Below are 19461 nucleotides of genomic sequence, written 5' to 3'. Positions count from 1 at the left end.
AACAAGGCTATTAATAATATCCAAACACAGAAGATGCTCGGGCCATGACGCAAGACCCGAAGGTTTTTCCAGGAAACTGGAGGAACACAAAAGAGTTCTAAGAAATTACAAGTACAAATGATAAATGGTAGGAAGATAAAAACCAGAAACACACACTAGAATAGCAACACTAAAAGAAAGCCAAATACGAAAGGAGTACCCAAACAGAAGATAGCAGGACTCAGAAAGCAAAAATCGGACTTGGAAAAAGAAAAGCATTCTTAAACAAACTGAAGAAATTTTCTGGACATACACTAGGATTTTCATACTAAGAAACATAACAGAAGAACATAGCTCATGAACAAATGGCCAATGCTGACAGGAGACACCTCACTCACAGAGACTGTCACCAAGACAGACCTCACTCCACCCTCTGTGACCTCAGAGGCCAGGGCCCATCCCCATTACCACATAGGAGCCACAGATGCTGACAGGAGACACCTCACTAACAGAGGCCGTCATCAAGACAGACCTCACTCCATCCTCTGTGACCTCAGAGGCCAGGGCCTGTCCCCATCACCACATAGGAGCCAGAAACAGAGGAATGTGTACAGGAGGTCACAGCACAGTCTCTGCTTGCTGGGTGTGGACTCAGCATGGTGCAGTGGACGGCAGTGGTGCCAGGCACCCAGTGAGCCAGCACTCACTCAGATCTCACGGTGTGTTTCCAGCAGAGTGTACCGTGTATTCACAGCCTCGCTTTCCGAGTGCTGGATCTTAATGTGCGTACCCACTAAGCATGTACAGCAGGTGCACAGCCAGGATCTCAGAATGCTGGATGTGTGCAAATATGGTGCAGTGGCCTGGAACAGTGCCTGTGAGCCTCCACACATGTGCATCTTACTCTGTGTGTGCCTTGCAAAGTGTACACAGCAAGCCCACCTGTCCGCCACCTCCAGGTCTGACTCCATCTTGTCCAGGCCTCTCATGACGCTGTCCAGCTGCTGGCCCTGGTGGTGCAGGACCCTCGCCGTGTCCTCCAGGCGTTTCTGGGATCCAGCCATGAGTCCCGTCAGCTCCTCGCCCCGGGTCCTTGGGACAGATGCGTCTGCCACGGCTCCAGGCTGAGACAGCAGCAGCTCCCTCCAGAAATGCTCGATGATGCTGAAGACCACATTTCGACTTGGCCGCAGGGAGCTGAACCAGTGCTTGGCATGGCCCTTCTCCAGGATGGTGATGGAGCTGAAGATAAAATGTGAAGCCTCCTTCTTGATCTCAACTATGCTGGAGAGGGGGAAGCTGACCAGAATCTCTCCAGTGCTGTCAGTCATGAACCTGAGCGACAGCGATGTTAAGGACAGCTGTCCAGTAACCCATCGCCTCTTGGGCTCCAGGTAGTAGGTGCACGGCCAGGTGTGGATGCAGACATCCCTGCTCATCTGTTCCTGGGTCTGTGTGCGCCAAGGTCCAGGCCTCTTCTGCCTCTGAAGGAGAAGAGACAGTAACGTTCTGCCGTCACCCATGGACTGGAGACACAAGCAACCCCACAAGGATGCTGCCTCCCCTGCGGCTCTGGGCTCACACAGGCTGCAGCACGTGGCTGACTCTCGATCCACCTGTGGCTGCATGACGAAGCCCATGTACCCTCTCAGCAGGTGAAGGAAGAGCAGCCAGAGCAGGAGGGCTGGTTTGGAACCAGGACCCCTGAGTCCCAGACTTATGCCCATCCCCCAGGCAGAGGGTTCACACTGTCATCCCCCTCACCACACTCTGTGCCCCTGCACCCAGCAAAGCCACCCTGCTTGGATCAGTGTCCACTGCTGGACGAGACTTGAGGAGGACATCACTGGAGACTTTGCCAGGGCCCTGGGCCTCGGACCTCAGTCCCAGGACGTACTCTCAGACCGTTCCAAGGAGCGCTGTCTTTTGGCCATAATGTTCCCTCTAGATGCACATTCCCCTTTGGAAACTTCCATTCATCAACTTCATTGCATAGAGAAAACAATCCTGCAGACAAGCGTTTTCCCTTCTCATAACCCCACCTAACCTTATAGCGTTCTACAGAACTGAGTAGTAACACGTACGCGTACTAACTTATTGTGCGTATGTAGTTTTACATAGCTGCAAGCAATGAAGGTGTCCTATCATGTTTTCACATCTACATTTATCAGTACAGTTTGGAAAGTCTTGGATGATAGATTTGAACGAATCCTCATGGAACATGCAGCCCAACTGTCTCATCGTACAGATAATGTAAGGTTAAGAAAACAAGAGGGCCTTGTGCAAGATCCAGGCACGAGTGCAGGACTCTGCCAGGGCCAGAGCCAGGCCGGGGATGCCTCACCAAGGTTCTGACAGCAGAGAAAGGTCCAAGGGTAGGGTGGCATTTCTCCCACTTCTCTCACAGAATTTCACTGTAACGTGACTTTACTTATACAAACAGGACAGCCAGCCAGTGTAATCCCCCCAGACATCAAAAAGTGTGGGCTTTCCATGGCACAGCTAGAGGCTGTGGGGTCCTCCTCATTCTGGCAGCACGTTCATGAGTCCTGCTATGTGCCAAATTATCTGCTGGGCACCACCTACCCTGATCCGTCCCTGGTTCCTGCAGCTCATGCAGTTACACTCTTAAGAGCCAGGTCTTTCATGTAACTGCTGCACTGGACACCATGCCCCCAACACAAGTCTAGACAAGACACACTGAAAAGCCACACCTGCATTGGAAGAGCTTGCATCAAATGGGACCTTAATTGTATGAGGACACAGCCATCTGAGAACGCACAATATGTCGTCACACGCAGACCACAGGGTGTGCAACCACTGCAGGGAAGGAGGTGTGGCTGGACTGTGGGGGCTGCCTGGCTAGGTCCCCAGTCCACAGAATACCCATGTGGCCACAGATGGAGCCCCACCCACCTTCTCCCACACCTGTCCTCCTTCTGGGGCATGGCACTCAGCACATGGAGGGTGCCGCCTGCTCATCTGGCTGGAAGTCATGAGAGGGGAAGGGCCCCATTTCATTAATTACCCTCCTTGGCAACAACCTGTCACTGAGTGAATGGGATGGATGTTTGGGGCTTTCAGATGTCTGTGCAGCTGGGCCCCTGGGGCATGGCTGAGGTGGCAGCCTTGACTGAATGCCCTGTGACTGGACAGATTTGGTCCCAGCCAGGCTAATCAATGAGAAATCCCGCTGGAAGCCTAGACAGGATGAGACTGGGTGGATGTGGATGGGATGCACCTCTCCTCACATCCCTGAGTGTCCGTGGCAGCTTTGGCCCAGACTGTTTTCCAGAATGCCTGCGTGGCGAGCAGCCTGGGGCTGCGACTGGTTTCTCCCTCTTGGCCAGAGAGAGGATGTGAGCCGGGTACTAAGGATGCCGTCTCCTCTGGGGGCAGAGGTAAGCAGGCTTGTCTTGCTGACATGCCCATTACAGCATGGGGGAGTTCCTGAACCCGGGGCTCTCCAGCTGTGACACTGATCCACCATGTGTGTAGCATCCACCTGGGACCCAGGCAGACAGGAAGCCCGCTGTGCCGAGACAGCTGAGACCATCAAGGCTGGGGCCTCCTACAGGAAGGTAGAAGCCGTCTCAGACCCATGTAGCCCCTGGGTGATGTGTATGACATCTGCAAGGCCACTCTATTCTGGGGTGTGGGTCCTTCACACCAGACTGCTCTCTGATGCCACTAAGTATTTAGGCAGCAAATGCCACACACCCGCTCTCAGCTCACAACACCCTAAGATGTTTCTATTCGGGGACATCAAGACTTTCTACAAATTTTATTTCGTTTGGAAAGTAAGCATATGAAAAGTTCAACATTAGGAGGTCAGGAAGATGGCTGCACCTGGGGAGAGGGGAAGGCCCTGCAGGGGCCTCTGTGGGGCTGCTTCTGTCCACCCCTTGCCCTGGGTGCACTTGTGATTTTGCATGCTCTGTTTTGATTCGTTGGTATTTCTGTACATAATGGTTCAATTAAAGGTTTATTGGATGTTTATAACAAACAATAGAAAATCACATTAAAATTAATAAACGCATGCATGACAGGTGTACCAGAACTAAATTTCAGCTGGGTGCTACAATTCCAAGAGCATTTGAAACCACTGCCTCAGGCAAAAGCCCAGGGAGAAGAGCACAGCCACACAGGCCACACAGATCCTGGCACGCTTCCTCTCACCGACAATACAGGTGCAGAGTCAGGGCAACCAGCTCCACCCAAGGCTGTGGGCTCAGGCAAGTGAGCGAGCCCCTCCCTCCTGCCCCTATCCCTGAGTGGGGCTGACAGTTGTGTGGCCCCACAGCCTCATGAGGTCAGCAGGGCGCTCCCAGGTGCTTGGCACAGCACAGCCACTCCCCGAGGCAGGACTATCCCTGGGAGCACCCAGGAGCACCCACAAGCACTAGCTTGGCCTGGCAGGCAGGAGCGCCTAGGGCCTGCCGTTTTCTTGAATCCACCTGTTTCATGACTGCCAGGGCGTTGCCACACCCAGGATCTGCCATTGGTCTCTCTGTTTTTAGTATCTGAACAGAGCTGGCCATAGACAACACCTAACCACAAAAGCTCACACACAGAAGGATGAGGAGGAAGGAGAGGAGGGGGAGGGAGGGAGAAGGGGAAGAGAGGAGGGGGAGGAAACTTCACTTGCAATGTGCTCAATATATACAAAAGTAAGGGGCCACATTAAAGCGAAATGACCCGACTCCTTCACAGCACAATGAATTTAACTTCTACGCTGATGTGGCTTAAGTATTCCACAAATACCTCCCAGTATTCCTCTTAAATCTCCGTAGAAAGGTCAGGACTGAATTTCCCAGACATGCATACATGCCAATCAGCTGTTGGTGTCCACTCTGTAGATCAGTCCAGATCACCAGCTCTCATTGCTCGTGTGAACTGATCACTAATCACCAGTACAGCCAGCCCGCCACATCCTTGGGCTCCACATCCGTGGATTCAACAACCCACAGGTCAAAAAATACTAAAAAAAAAAAAAAAAAGCTGTCCCTGCACTGAACATACACAGACTGTTTTTCCTGTCTTTATTCCCTAAGCAACACAGCACCAACCACAGCACGCCACCGTGGCAGGCTTGTAAGTGACAGAGATGACATAAGGCTGATGGCAGGACGCACAGAGAGGACACGTGATACCACGCCACTTCACACCAGGGACCTCGGCGTCTGCAGGAGGTCCTGGGACCAAACCACAGGTACTGAAGGTCGGCTGTACCTGAGATTAGGAGAAGCTGAAAAGGAAGCTGCTATATTAAGTAAGAGAATTCTATCATCAACACACAATAAGATACGAGACTTACAAATAATAAAAATGTCAGGGTTCGAGGGATGCTGTAGACAGCTTATTGTGGTGAAAGCTCAAGGAACCCAGGGCACCTTGGCTGACCCCGTCTCCCAACTCCAAGAAAGCAGCTCTTAGGGTATGGGTATCTAAGGAGACAAAGGACACAGTCCAGGCACCAAGGGAGGTCCAGGGGAGCAGACAGATAGTGACATTCAAAGACCAGCAACGATGACACGGCCTGTGACTGCCACTGAGCAGTGAAGGGAGCAGGTGTCAGAGAACCTTCTAGAAGAGCCTGCAAGGCCTGGGACTGCCGGGAAGGTGAGCCTTCTGTAGTCTCGAACACGCAATGCAGAGGCAGCAAGGGGCCGAGGCCAGCAGTGACTACAGCACCCAGTCACAGAGGAGAGGCGGGGCTCAGGGAGGCTGGAGCCCATGGGAGGCCGGAGCCCACGGGAGGCCTTGTGAGAACCTGTCTCAGCCAGACTGCAGGGAACCCCAACATCAACAAACACAAAGCACCTCGCACTCTCCCTGCCCAGGAAGGCTCTAGGAGATTTAAGGCTGGCCTCCTCTTCTGGGGAGGGCCTGACAGGTGGGTTTGCAGCACACACCAAGGCCAAGCAGATCCGTGGGTGGGCCAGAGCCGCCCTTCCTAGGCGACACCATCTCTCACCACCAGGAGGAGGCCAGAGGGAGCCCTAGGCAGCAGGTATCTCACTGCACCTTCCTCTGCAACCGGGGAATACTCACCTGAGCACCCCACATGGCCCCTCAGGAGACACAGAAGAGGGCGCCAAGACCTTCAGTACCATGGTCAACCTAGCTACACCCCCAGGGTCACAGCAAGGGCCCAGTGGGCCATACACAGGACCCACCCCCTCCAGGGCCACCCACTCCCCACCAGGGCCATGGCGAGGGTCGGCAGGCCACACACAGGACCCATGATGCCGTTCTGCCACAGCAGCTGCAAGGCCACCCAGCAGGCTCTGGACTATGGGGACACAAAGATGTCTGCTTCTCAGAATTAGGAGGAGGATAAACTACACCAACTCAGTCATGCTCCTCAAAGTCAGGCAAGCCAGTACCCACAGGAGGGGCTGTGGCCCTCCCTGCTCAGCCCTGGAGTTGCTGTGCCCATGCTCCTGGCTGAAGAGGCTGCCCAGACCTCAGCCATACCTGGCCTTCGAGGGGAGGGACCACGCCTCACCACCACCACCTCTATACAGAGAGCTAGACACGGTGTGGACAGTGAATGTGTGCTAACCATTGCTAAGCAGGCATGGTTGGGAGGTATTTCAGGAGTGTGGAGGGAAATTATGCACAACCTCCCCGGAGAAGTCCTGTTACTGGTGTTGCAGCACAGTTTACAGCTCTGGAAACATCACCTCACCTTCTGGACCTTTTTACCCACCGTCAAAATAACTAAAAGACCTAAGGTCACCAGCTCTAAAATCTTTCAAATTCAAAAAGAAAGCTGGGCATGCTGGTGTGCACCTGTGGTCCCAGCTACTCAGGAGGCTGAGGTAGGAGGATCACTTGAGCCTGGGAGGTCCAGGCTGCAGTGAGTCGTGATTGTACCACTGCACTCCAGCCTGGGCAACAGAGTGAAATTCCGTCTAATTGAACAATGAGAACACATGGACACAGGAAGGAGAACATCACACTCTGGGGACTGTTGTGGGCTAGGGGCAGGGGGGAGGGATAGCATTAGGAGATATACCTAATGCTAAATGACGAGTTAGTGGGTGCAGCACACCAGCATGGCACATGTATACATATGTAACTAACCTGCACATTGTGCACACGTACCCTAAAACTTAAAGTATAATAATAATAAAATAAAATAAAAAAAGAAAAAAAAGAAAAAAAAGACCAAAAAATTAGGACATGAATAACCAAGGCTCTTCTCATTATCACATTTTAAACAATAAATATAAGGAAAGTATTCAAGTTTGACAACAGCCCAGGAAGAAGCAAGAAGAGAAACTTGTAGCCACCCTTTTCCAACTGCAGGTTTCCAGGGCTTCTTTCCCAGAAAACCTTAGTCAACGGAGATGCAGTGCAAGGACGGAAGTGAAGACACCCCATGGAACATCAGAAGCAGCCCAATCTTGAACACGGCCCCCACGCCGGCCAGCCATTCCCCTACCCGACGACACGCCTGGCCCCACACAGAGGCCACAGGAGAACGTGGTCCCTTTTCACCTCCAAGGCCAGACCCTCCTCCCGGGGCCCTGATCCCACCCTCTCTCTCTCAGCCCCCAGACCTCTCCGGCCCTCCCATGCCAGGCACTGCACTCTCCGTGAAGGACCACGCATGGTCTCCGTCACCACTACACAGCTCTGCTGGGGTGGAATGAAAGTGGCCACACACAAGACATCAACATGGGGTGTGCCACCCCACAGGACCTCACTTACAAAAATGTGGTAGCTGGACCTGGCCCATGAGCCAAGGGGCCTTGCTGAGAGTCACTGCACCCTGGCTCCCTGGCCACTACCCTCTCCAGGTCTCCAGCCCCACTTCCATGAGTGCCTGCGTCCACTCTCCTTGGCCATAGCCTCCTCATGCACCTGACTGCACAGGGCACAACCTCTCCTCCTTGCACCCTCTTTTTCCAGGTGAGACAACACAGGCCAGAAACTCAACATCACCCCCAAGCCGTTGCCTCCCAAACACCCACTCCAGCCAGACTCCCTCACGCTTCAAACTTGGACATCTGATCACTCGCTGATCTGCCCCCACCCCTAACAGGCACTTGAACTTCACATTCCTTCCATCAGCTCCTCCCCTATCACCTGCTGGGTATCTGCCCCCATCCCTAACGGGCAACCCAACTTCACAGGCCCTCCCCTATCACCCGCTGGGCATCTGTCCCTGACCCTAACAGGCACCCCAATTTCACAGCCCCTCCTGTCACCCGCTGGGCATCTGCCCCCACCCCTAACGGGCACCCCAACTTCACAGCCCCTCCTTCAGCTTTCAGCTCCTCCCCTATCACCTGCTGGGCACCTCCTCCCACCCCTAATGGGCACCCCAGTGTAGCAGCACCAGAGTCAGTTCCTCTCTCAGTAAAGTCACCACGGGCCCAGGACTTCTGACTCCTCTCTTCCTCCCCCTCAAGAAACATGCCATGAGCATGTCCTGGCAGCTGTGTCCCCACCCTCCACCCCAAGACCACATCACTGACCTGGCACAGGCATTGTCTGGGCCAACCAGCACAAGCAACACACTTGGGGGAAGGTGTTGTAGTCACAGGGACTCACTCATCACACACTGCAATCTGTACAATGGGTCTCTCTCAGTCTTTCCATTATATGTGTGCCCCCTGAATGAGACTCAATCTCCAGGAAACAATCTACTTTTAGTTACTTTCCACAGTTCCACCATCCAAGGCAGTCCTCCCTCCCTCCACACCTGGACAACATCTCAGGCAACCTCCTGACCTCATCCTGTCCCCATCACCCATTCCCCCTCCAGCAGTCAATGAGATAGTCATTGAACAGAATTAGAATATGTCACTTCTCTGCCCAAAGCCTTTCCCTGTGTACTTGGAATGAGATCCAAGTTCCTTACCGCAGCCTCATGGACTCTGCAGGACCTGCGGCCTCCCTGCCCTGGCCTTCCCCTGCCCTCTGCTCCCAGCAGCCTTTCCACACCAGGGAGTCTCATTGGTGGCTCCACTCCGCAGGTCTCTGTTCGGAGGGCTTCCTCGCCTTCCTAAGGCACTGTCACCAACCATGGCCCAAGCAAAACTCCAGAGAGTTGGTGCTTTCATGACTGTCGCACTACAGAAGGCACTATCATGGGAGGGCCGCAAGGCCCGCTACACACCATGGGCACCCAATGAATTTGTGCTGAGTTGACCACAACCACACCACATGGAAACAGAGCTGTGCCTATGCCCTCCTGTACCACATAGTTCTGCAATCAGTCCAGGTCCTGGAGCCCTCACGGTGTCCCTGCCTGTTGCAATCTGCAACCTCCTTCCTCCAGTGCAGGTGTGGGCCTGGGGACCCGCGCTGACCCTGAGAACACACAGCTGAATCCTCGAGGGAGGTCATGGCCAGGGGCCCAAGGGTGTCTGCAGCCAACCCACACAAGTGACGCTCTTGGGGAGGAAGTCTGCAGCACAGGGATGGCTCAGCACGCAGGGCGATCTGTACAATGGGTCTCTTTCAGCATTTCCATCACTCAAGGGTCCCCTGAGTGAGGCTCAGTACCCAGTAAACAACTTATTTTTAGTTAATTTCCGCAGTCACAGAACAAACATCTTGCACACCTTCCACTACCTCGCAACCAAGAAGCTAAGTGAGAACAGTGGTGGCTGTGTGTGCCCACAGGGGCGGTAGGGTGCGGCCAATCTTTCCAGGCTCCCCTCCCCTGCTCCTCAGACCCTCTTTCCACTCCCTCAGAGGTTCCCAACTCTAGCCACAAAGTGCAGACACCCTCACTGGGGCTGTTTGCATGCAACACAGTGACAGAGGAGCACATATTCGGCACAAAGCGTACTGCATTTTCTCCAAAGTGCTGACTTAAAACCCGTCCTGGCCAGGCACAGTGGCTCATACCTGTAATCTCAGCACTCTGGGAGGCTGAGGTGGAGGATCACTTCAGCCCAGAAGGCAGAGGTTGCAGTGAGCCAAGATAGCGCTATTGCATTCCAGCCTGAGTGACAGAGGAAGACCCCGTTTTAAAACAAAAACAAAAAACCATCCTAATGGAGTATTGTGTGGGGCCCAAGAATGTGGATTTCTTGCCATTCCCAAGCGATGCCAGGGCTGATCTAGCGGGCTCTGGGTGACACAAGCCTATGTTCCAGTCCCATGAGAGCTGATAACACTCCAGGCCTCCTGCGTATACAGTGGTGACACTGACCCGAGGGGGCACCCTGCGGACCAGCGAACTAAACCACAGAGTTCCATCTCAAGAACGAGAGCTCCATCTCCCACCAAGTCCTAGGGGCTCAGTGATCTCAGGGAGCTGTGGACCTGCTAGCCCAAATGCTCCTTTCTTAGGAAACAGGCTCAACCACGGAGCTGCAGGAACTCCTTCCAGGCAATGCCCACCTGAATTTCAGTTTCCCCATGAGGCAAACTCGGAACCATATTCCAAGATCTTGAGACAATTATAAACACTCTGCTCCCCACATCTTCCCCATTGGCCTCCCATGATCTGCATGCACCACAACCAAAATCAAATGACTACTAGCAATTAAGGAACAATATGTGGCAAGATCAATTAAGGTCAATTAATTGTCAATATTGAGGTCAATATGTGGCAAGATGTTACAGCATATTGTTAAATAAAAAACAAAAGACTAAAAGCAGCAAAAGTTTATATATGTATATTATACACGATGGAGAAAGAGACTGTGTATGTGTGAGTGTGTGTGCATACATGTGCGTGAACGTATAGGCAAGGACTGGGGGGAGAGAAGAGTGGAGAGAGAGAATGAATGAATGAATGAATGTATGTGTGAAGGAATGTAGAAAAGCCGGCTCTACACCAGGAATAAAAAACGGTCATCTCGGCTGGGTGTGCGGTGGCTCACGCCTGTAATCCCAGCACTTTGGGAGGCCGAGTCGGGCAGATCACAAGGTCAGGAGTTCGAGACCAGCCTGACCAACATGGTGAAACCCCGTCTCTACTAAAAATACAAAAATTAGCTGGGCGTGGTGGTGCGCGCCTGTAATCTTCGCTACTCAGGAGGCTGAGGCAGGAGAATCACTTGAACCTGGGAGGCGGAGGTTGCAGTGAGCCAAGATCATGCCATTGCACTCCAGCCTGGGTGACAGAATAAGACGCGGTCTCAAAACAGCAAAAACAACAAAACAAAAAACAAAAAACAAAAAAACCAAAAAAAACCAAAGCAAAAAAACCCCAGTCATCTCTGGACGGAACTGGAGGTGATTCTTTCTCTGCAACTGTAACTTCTCCAGACATTCTGATTCTCTAGTGTAAAAAAAACCCCAATAAACAATTGCATACCGTGATCACACAAGCCACAATAGGGCTGACTAGGAAGGGACCATAGCACGCACTGAATCACACAATCCCCAAAACAACTCTCCGCCTCCTGTCCCTGCCCTCATATCCCACCTTTACCTGGACTCAGACTCCCAAAACTCACTTTCCTCCTAGTCCTCCCTCCAACTCCTCAGACCTTGGTCCTCCCTCTTCTGCTCCTCCCTGTTCTCCTGGGTAAACCTCACACCCCTTGGAAAGAGTCTTCCAGCAAGGCTCAGAGCCCCAGCACTCCTAGAACCTCCCATATCCCCACTTATAAGAGTAAATAAAACAACATTTCCATTGCTTCATAAAGGGAAGGCAGGTGCCCCTCTCCCGCTTAGGATGCCTCTGTTTGGTCTGGAATGAGATAGCCCAGTGTCCAGATTTTACAAGACACAGTCATGGTCTGATGGCCCCTAGAATGTCATCAGACCTCCAAACCTAACTCAAAGGCCTCGCACTGTGTGCAAACCAGCACAAGCTGCCTCTCATTTCTCTGGGAGAGATGAGCGGTTCTAACTGTTCCTCCTTCCACCTCCCTGTCAAGACGCCTGGGAAATGCTGCCCAGACTCTGCACTCTCTCGCAGAGCACCTATGTGCACACAGCCTGCCAGGCTTCGGGGGCAATAAATCTGCTATCTTTCCTTCTGCATCCATGTGGGTAGCTTTGAGCTGATTTCTCCAGCACACCAAGACATACATCACATAGGGTCCCCCATGGCCCCACTTTCGTGTCCTGGCCGAAAATCACAGAGTACCCTGATCCCTCTGTGCCCCAACCACAGGTTTTCCCCACCAGGCTTCAACCCAATCCAGGGCCTTTAACATTTCCAGGCATGGAAGAAAGTATCTAGGTTTACTACAAAGAAAACGGCCTTGGCCCTGAGCCAAATTCCTGAAACCTTCCTATAAACTCCATAACCCACACCCCTTCCAAGAGACATACCTAGGGAGGACATCCCTTTTCCCTTACTGCCCGTCTCGAGGACTACCGCAGCCCACTCTATATGAAAGTTCCCCTAACAAAACCTCTAGGCAGGGCCTGGCGCAGTGGCTCACACCTGTAATCCCAGCACTTAGGGAGGCCAAGGCAGAAGGATTGCTTGAGCCCAAACGTTCAACACCGGCTTGGGCAACACAGAGACCCTGTCTCTACAAAAAAAAAAAAAAAAAACAAAAACAAAAAAACAAAACTAAGCTGGGCATAGTGGCTCATGCCTGTAGTCCCAGCTACTTGGGAGGCTGAAGCAGAATTAAAGAATTCATCAAGCCCAGGAGGTGGAAGCTGCAGTAAGCTGTGATGGTGCCACTGCATACTGTCTCAAAAAAAAAAAAAAAAAAAAAAAAAAAAAAAAAAACTGCTCTGGGCTTACCATGCATTTAGCACTTCTTTCTTTGGTATCCCAACTGGTCCCACCTGAGGATAGTGTGGGGAACTCCCTTGCCGCCACTTTTGGGGTAACTCCAGTTGCAAGTTTGGCAAAACACTCCTCATGTCACTACTCCGATGTCCTCCCACTTCAGCCCTGCTCATGTGTACACAGCCCCAAATCCCTACCCACACTCCCACCACACCTTCATTTCACACCCTCCCTCATTCCCCACCATCTTCTCCAGACACCCGTCATCCCCTGGGGCCCCTTGCCATGCCCTCCAGGTCCCCTGTGGGCCCCATTCGCCCATCTAGGTTACCCTGCCCCCTCCAGCCCTCCCACCATTTTCCTCCAGGTCCCCACCATCCTCTCTAGATCCCATGTCCCCTCCAGGTGCCACTGATCCCTCCAGGAACCCACTGTCCCCATCCCTTCCAAGTGCTACCGTCCCCTCCAAATCCCCACTGTCCCCTCCAGGTCCTCAATGTCCCCATCTCCTCCAAGTGCCACCGTCCTCTCCAGGTCCCCACCGTCCTCTCCAGGTCCCCACTGTACCCATCCCCTCCAGATCCCACCGTCCTCTCCAGGTCCCCACTGTCCCCATCCCCTCCAGGTCCCACCGTCCCCTCCAGATCCCGTCTCCATCCCCTCCAAGTGCCACCGTCCTCTCCAGGTCCCCACCATCTCCTCCAGGACCCTACCATCTCCGCTAGATCCCACCATCCCAGGGCCCCCCAGCTCTCCCTCTGGGTCCCACCGTTCTCTCCGGGTCCCATCATCCCTGGGCGCCCCCGCACCGCCGCACTCCCGCCCCCAGAACCGCCTCTGTCCCCGCCCCTCTCCCAGCGCAGCCCGCATACCCCCCACCCCCCGGGGATGCGGGAAGGAGGGCTCGGGCTGTGTCAGCCACAGCGCGCGGACTGAGCCGAGGGCGGACGCTACGGCTTGGCTTGGGCCGGGCGCCCAACAGACCAACACCGTCGCTCACCTGAGGGACGCCAGACGAGTCCCAGAGCCGACCGCGGCGCCTCGGCCGCTCGGCGCCTGCGCAGTGAAGACCGCGGCGAGCCGCGCGCATGCGTGCAGGCCCGGAGCCCCAGGCGCTGGCGGGGCAGAAACGCGGCGCCCTGCGTCTTCTGGTTCCGAGGCTGGTCCTCACCGTTTCCGCTCCGGCGGAAGTGAGGAGGAGGGTCCTTCGACCCGTGCTGAGCTGGATGGACCGCGAGACGCGCGCCCTCGCCGACAGCCACTTCCGAGGCCTGGGGGTCGATGTCCCCGGCGTCGGCCAGGCTCCGGGCCGGGTAGCCTTCGTCTCGGAGCCGGGCGCCTTCTCCTACGCCGACTTTGTGCGGGGCTTCTTGCTGCCCAACCTGCCCTGCGTGTTTTCCAGCGCCTTCACGCAGGGCTGGGGCAGCCGGCGGCGCTGGGTGACGCCCGCGGGGAGGCCCGACTTCGACCACCTGCTACGGACCTACGGTGGGGCGGCGGCCGCAGACCCCGGGCGGGGAGGAAAGGCCGGCGGGACCCAGGCCCGGGAGGCCCCCGCCTAGAGAGGGGCACCAGGGAGGGTGAGGGAGGCCAGGCGCGTGGCCCCTGGAGAGTTCCTCTGCAGACGGTTTGGAGTGAGGACGGGGCCCAGGGAGATGGCATGGACCGTGCCTTTCATTTCAGGAGACGTGGTTGTACCAGTTGCAAACTGTGGGGTCCAGGAATACAACTCGAACCCCAAAGAGCACATGACTCTCAGAGACTACATCACCTACTGGAAAGAGTACATACAGGCGGGCTACTCCTCTCCCAGGGGCTGTCTCTACCTCAAAGACTGGCACTTGTGCAGGTAATGGGGCTTGGGACGCACCGAGGCGCTGCCTTCCCTAGCGCTGCGTGAACCCAGAGGCCTTTCTGATGAAGGTGGCCCCTGGGTGCACAACGGAGCTATTTTTCCCCGTGAGGCACTTTAATCAGTTTAAAAGAAACTGGATTGTCTTCCGCATGGCTGCAAGTGTTGTTCTTTGGGAGGTCAATATGGTTTTTTTTCCTTTTTTTTTGAGAGAGATCTCCTCAGCCTCCCTAGTACCTGGGATTACAGGAAGGCGTCTCCACTCCCGGCTTTTTTTTTTTTTTTTTTTTTTTTTAAAGAGACTAGGTTTCACCATGTTGCCCAGGCTGGTCTTGAACTCCTGAGCTCAGGTGATGCATCCACCTCAGCATCTCAAAGCACTGGGATTATAGGCATGATCAGTACTTTCTAATAAGCAGAACCATTGTAGTCAGACTGCCCCGCCCCCTCCCCCGCCAGCAGCGTCTGGCTCAGAGGAGGGTCTGGGGCTCTTTGGGGGCTGCAGCCATCTGGAAGCTCCACTGGAGCCGATTGGTCTCAGTTGCCCCACTCGTGCTGCCCTAGTCTCCTCGTGCCTCACGTGCTGTCGGTGGTGCCCTTGCGCCCTCCTCACAGGGACTTTCCGGTGGAGGACGTTTTCACCCTGCCTGTGTACTTCTCGTCCGACTGGCTGAATGAGTTCTGGGATGCACTGGATGTGGATGACTACCGCTTTGTCTACGCGGGGCCTGCGGGCAGCTGGTGAGGCCACGGATGTGGGAGTGGAACCCGAAGGGGCCTGGTGACAGAACGGACTGGGAGGCCCAGGGTGGCAGGAGGGGGGCTGCTTGGCACAGGCCTCACAGTGGGTGCCATCCCTTGAGACCAAGGGGCCACCCCTCCTTCAGTTGGACCAGGCCTCTGGGGTGCCAAGCAAAGCCCATACCAGCCCCTACAGGCATGAACCAGGCGCTCTTGCTGCCGCAGGTCCCCGTTCCATGCTGACATCTTCCGCTCCTTCAGCTGGTCTGTCAATGTCTGTGGGAGGAAGAAGTGGCTCCTCTTCCCCCCAGGGCAGGAAGAGGCCCTGCGGGACCGCCACGGCAACCTGCCCTACGACGTGACCTCCCCAGCACTCTGCGACACACACCTGCACCCACGGAACCAGCTTGCTGGCCCACCCTTGGAGATCACGCAGGAAGCGGGCGAGATGGTGTTTGTGCCCAGTGGCTGGCACCACCAGGTGCACAACCTGGTAATGTGCTGCTTCTCCTGCCCCCTATCAGGGGCCTTCCTGCAGGAAGACGGCAGCACCACCTCCCCACTCTCCCAGCCAGAGCTGGGCTGGAATGGGGTGGCTCATGGGTGAGGCTGACCCCTTCACAAGGTGGTGTCGCTGAGGCCTAGCCTCTGTTTCACCCACTGCCGGTCCCTGGGTCTACTTGCTCTGGGTTCACTGTGGCCTGAGGTGGTCCGAGCCCGCCACCCACTTCCCTGCTGAGCAAGCCCTGCTGGGAGACAGGAGGGCCCTCTTGGCTGCAGAGGGCTGGACCCCACAGTGGGTTCCTGGCGCAGGAGATGTGGGTTGGTCAGGGGGCACCTGCCATGGGCTCAGGCCTGCCTGCACTGTGCCCCTTCCAGGATGACACCATCTCCATCAACCACAACTGGGTCAATGGCTTCAACCTGGCCAACATGTGGCGCTTCTTGCAGCAGGAGCTATGCGCCGTGCAGGAGGAGGTCAGCGAGTGGAGGGACTCCATGCCCGACTGGCACCACCACTGCCAGGTGGGGTGGCTACGCATGGAGGCTACCCTCCTGGGGGAGGCTTTTAGGCTGCATGGCTCAGACTCCCTTGGTCACCGCGCAGCTTCTCAGTGCCTCTGTCTTAATGGTCCCTTCTTCGTCCTTGGGGACTGGGCGCATGTCGGGTCCTTTGCAGCTTGGACTGTGTCCATGGTGTTAGCTCACTGGCCTCTTCCCTCTGCCCAGGTCATCATGAGGTCCTGCTCGGGCATCAACTTTGAAGAGTTTTACCACTTCCTCAAGGTCATCGCTGAGAAGAGGCTCCTGGTCCTGAGGGAGGCAGCCGCTGAGGACGGTGCTGGGTTGGGTTTCGAACAGGCAGCCTTTGATGTTGGGCGCATCACAGAGGTGCTGGCCTCCTTGGTTGCGCACCCCGACTTCCAGAGAGTGGACACCAGCGCGTTCTCACCACAGCCCAAAGAGCTGCTGCAGCAGCTGAGAGAGGCTGTTGATGCTGCTGCGGCCCCATAGCACCTGTCGTGAGGATAGAAGGACGGGTGGAAGAGAGGCAGCCTCCTGCTCCGGGGCCCTTCCAGAAATAAAGACCGCCCTCCCTGTGACCTGGGGCCCACCCCTGTCGAGGCTTGTGGCCTGGCTGTTCATGGCCACTGCCTGGGTGCCTGTTTTCAGGTGAGGCCCAATGAGGTCAGGGACCCAAGATGGGATGTGGCCCTTCTGACCTGCAGCAGGCCTGCTGGGAGCTCGGAGATGGTGCCAGGACCTGGCTCTTTTGGGGGCCCTGCCTCCTTAGGCCAGGACGCCTGAGCTGACAGGAGTCTGTGTCTGGTGTGCCTTCTCTGGTGGCTCCTCTTAATAGGCCAGCCCTGTCCCCTCGTCTCAGGCCATTGGACCACCCCTGGCTCTGCCCTGTGGGTTCAGGGAGGGGTTGGAGCAGTGCTGGGCAAGCTCACCAGGGCCTCCAGGCAGGGCTGGGGTTGGCCTCCATCACCTCCAGGTGATGGGCTGTGGAACCAGCGGCCTGCGCCTTCCTCTGGGTACCCAGAGTGGAGGGCTGGGTTGGGCTGGCCTTTGCCACCTCCCTGCCTTTGCAGGGCCTGTGGACAGCTGGAGAGGCCACAGATGGGGTGGAATCCCATCTGCTGCTGAATCCTCACCTGGGCCTGAGGGACTGTGCCTGCTGTGCACTCACAGCTGGGTCTTCCCAAGGATGCTGTTCTCAGGAGTGGTGGGTCCCCAGCCCCTCTTCACACTGGGTATGATGGAGGTGTGGGCGGGCTCGTCCAGGCCGATCAAGGCACAGCAGTGAGCAGCGGAGGCCTGTGGTGGGGAATGGACTCTCGTGGGATCCTCTTGCAGAGGATGCCCCAGGCCTGAACCCTCTAGTGGATCCACAGTTTGTGGAGACTGGCACTCTCCCAGCCCTGTCCTTGACCGAGAGTCCAGCATTTTTTCAGTTGGCCCCTGGTTGGCTGCCTCACCCCAGCAGGGGAGGAGGCATCCGAATCCACAGGGACGGCACGTGCCATGGCTATGCACATTGCCTGCCCGTGGCATCAACTGGGGCCGCTGGCACTTGTCTAGGATGGAAGCCCCCAAGAAGGGCAGGGGTTTCTGTCTGCTCTGTTCAGTGAATCATGTGAAGTGCTTGCAAAGGCAGCTTTACACAGTAGGTGCTTCATATGTGTCTGTCGAATGAATGCGCTCCAGCCAACAGCTTTCCAGGGACCTGTATGCTGGGCCCCCCTGCTAGCTCCCGGGGACCCCTGGTCTGTACGGGAATGCCCTGAGACATCCGGCCTCCTACAGATGGAGCTGGCGCTGCCCAAACCACGGGCAGCAAAGGTGCTTTGTCGGGGAGGAGGGGGAGGTAGCAAACATGCACGGCTGCAGCCTTGCCAGGACCAGGCCCAGGCTGAGTGTGGGCGTGGCTCACCCATTTAGCCCCTCCGGTAACCTCTGAGCTTGGGCCTCTTGGCACCCTGCCACACAGGCACACCTGAGGCCAAGAGTGGGGGTATGTGCCTCGGACACTGCCAGCAGGCAGCTGAGGTGACCTGTCCTTCAGCTTCTGTCATGATGAGGGCAGCACTGTGGACCCCAGGGCAGCCAGGGCCCAGTGCGAACTGGCAGCACAAGGTAGCACAGGTCGCAGCCCATTACCATCCAGGCTGCTTGGTCCTGCGCTCCTGAACTGTATGTGAAGACCCTCATGCTTCCGCAGTCAGGAGGCAGTGCACAGACGCTCCCGAGAGCCCTGCTAGCCTCAGTCACTTTTTCTTGGTTAAAGCAGGCATTGAGAATCTCAGGCTGGGGCTGTTACAGATGCAGCAAAAACAGCAAATGCCAGAAGCTCTGTGGGGGGAGATAGAGCCCTCCACAGGGCAACGGCTGAACTGCAGCCGGCATCGATGACTCCATAGTCAATGACCATGACTCCTTTTGCATACCTCACTCCAGATTGGCAAAAAAAAAAAAAATGCTGACACCAGGGCCAGGTGGGTTGTGGGGCAGCCGCTGTGCAGAGTGTGGCTAGACAGCAGTTTGAAGTGTCAGGCAGGATGCCCCTTTCCCAAGTATGCCGCCCTGGGATCCTGTCCGGGGTTGGGGAGGCATGCTGTCAGCACATGTGAGGGCCTTCGCAAAGGGAATTTCACCTCTGCAAGAGGCCTGACAGGCCACGTCTCCCTGGGAACCAACCTCCTGGGGTACGAGGTGAGGAGCTGCAGATGTGCGGTGGTTAGCCCCTGCCCTTTGCGTGTCATCCCTATCAAGTGTGAGAAAGGACAGGCAGGCTGCAGCTAACTAGTGTTCCTGAGGAAAGGGGTCAGAGAAACAATGCAGATGCTCAAGACCTAAGGCTACGTGGGAGCTGCACATAGATGGATATACTTGCAAGTGTGGGGACAATGGCTGTGCACCCCACCATGCCTGGGTGAGGGCGTGCAGTGGCCCAGATTCCTTGGGGAGTGGGACCTGTGGGCCCCCATAGGAAGGCTGGAAAAGTCAGGCCCTGCTGTCTGCACAGACTCTAGCCTGGGAGGACACAGAGTGAGGGAACATGATGGGGCCTAGGGGCTCCTCCAGCACGTGCCTGCCCTGCCCTGGGCTTGCAATTGTGATTGGCTGGAATCCATGGAGGTGGAGACAGGAGCCCCAGGTCAAGTTGTTGCTGGCTGTGGCAAAACCAGGCTCCCTGCATCCTGGGGGC

The 19461-nt window shown here is 55.7% G+C and overlaps 2 protein-coding genes across 17 annotated transcripts in view, besides 6 other annotated features; one reads left to right on the top strand and one right to left on the bottom strand.

Annotated features, from left to right (window-relative positions):
- The window catches only part of SNAP47 (synaptosome associated protein 47), a 53059-nt gene that overhangs the window by 32072 nt on the left and 1526 nt on the right, over positions 1 to 19461 (bottom strand). For 2 of the 14 annotated variants that reach the window (NR_136655.2, NM_053052.4), the window contains exons 1-2: positions 13656 to 13720; positions 922 to 1463 (exon numbers count right to left, since the gene is read on the bottom strand). The exons of 1 other annotated variant lie outside the window; for it this stretch is intronic. Coding sequence is in view for 10 of the 13 variants with exons in the window: in NM_053052.4 (NP_444280.3) it covers positions 922 to 1418 (497 nt within the window). In the remaining 3 variants the exon portion in view is untranslated. Of the gene's footprint in view, positions 1 to 921; positions 1464 to 9852; positions 9950 to 12667; positions 12978 to 13424; positions 13461 to 13655; positions 17571 to 19461 lie in introns of those variants that run through there. 11 more of the 14 variants (NM_001323933.2, NM_001323932.2, NR_136656.2 and 8 more) reach the window with 9 other exon arrangements.
- Positions 7180 to 7383: a silencer, noted in NCBI's record as "fragment chr1:227929473-227929676 (GRCh37/hg19 assembly coordinates)". NCBI's record gives its function as "represses an EF-1alpha promoter that drives an FKBP-Casp9 reporter gene in an ReSE screen in K562 erythroleukemia cells {active_cell/tissue: K562}" and the evidence as "EXISTENCE:reporter gene assay evidence [ECO:0000049][PMID:32094911]".
- Positions 7371 to 7915: an enhancer, noted in NCBI's record as "H3K4me1 hESC enhancer chr1:227928941-227929485 (GRCh37/hg19 assembly coordinates)". NCBI's record gives its function as "activates a minimal SCP1, AML or CMV promoter by ChIP-STARR-seq in primed H9 embryonic stem cells {active_cell/tissue: H9 hESC(primed)}" and the evidence as "EXISTENCE:reporter gene assay evidence [ECO:0000049][PMID:30033119]".
- Positions 7916 to 8461: an enhancer, noted in NCBI's record as "H3K4me1 hESC enhancer chr1:227928395-227928940 (GRCh37/hg19 assembly coordinates)". NCBI's record gives its function as "activates a minimal SCP1, AML or CMV promoter by ChIP-STARR-seq in primed H9 embryonic stem cells {active_cell/tissue: H9 hESC(primed)}" and the evidence as "EXISTENCE:reporter gene assay evidence [ECO:0000049][PMID:30033119]".
- Positions 13382 to 13671: a silencer, noted in NCBI's record as "silent region_1900". NCBI's record gives its function as "represses an Ori minimal core promoter by ATAC-STARR-seq in GM12878 lymphoblastoid cells {active_cell/tissue: GM12878}" and the evidence as "EXISTENCE:reporter gene assay evidence [ECO:0000049][PMID:35858748]".
- On the top strand, positions 13853 to 17964 carry JMJD4 (jumonji domain containing 4). 3 transcript variants are annotated; one of them, NM_001161465.2, is made up of 6 exons: positions 13853 to 14143; positions 14339 to 14504; positions 15123 to 15248; positions 15474 to 15741; positions 16128 to 16226; positions 16479 to 17964. In NM_001161465.2, exons 1-6 carry the CDS (start codon positions 13882 to 13884, stop codon positions 16761 to 16763), a joined length of 1206 nt encoding a protein of 401 aa, NP_001154937.2. In that variant the 5' UTR covers positions 13853 to 13881; the 3' UTR covers positions 16764 to 17964. The 3 variants fall into 3 exon arrangements, with proteins under 3 accessions (NP_001154937.2, NP_075383.3, XP_011542564.2); NM_023007.3 differs by having other exon boundaries at positions 16128 to 16274; XM_011544262.4 differs by lacking the exon at positions 16128 to 16226.
- Positions 14132 to 14331: a silencer, noted in NCBI's record as "silent region_1899". NCBI's record gives its function as "represses an Ori minimal core promoter by ATAC-STARR-seq in GM12878 lymphoblastoid cells {active_cell/tissue: GM12878}" and the evidence as "EXISTENCE:reporter gene assay evidence [ECO:0000049][PMID:35858748]".
- Positions 18785 to 18834: an enhancer, noted in NCBI's record as "active region_2680". NCBI's record gives its function as "activates an Ori minimal core promoter by ATAC-STARR-seq in GM12878 lymphoblastoid cells {active_cell/tissue: GM12878}" and the evidence as "EXISTENCE:reporter gene assay evidence [ECO:0000049][PMID:35858748]".

Source organism: Homo sapiens, chromosome 1 (assembly GCF_000001405.40).
Source record: "Homo sapiens chromosome 1, GRCh38.p14 Primary Assembly".
In the NCBI taxonomy this organism is placed as follows: Eukaryota; Metazoa; Chordata; class Mammalia; order Primates; family Hominidae; genus Homo; species Homo sapiens.
Note: the sequence above shows the minus strand (reverse complement) of the source record. Positions and strands in the feature narration are given on the sequence as shown.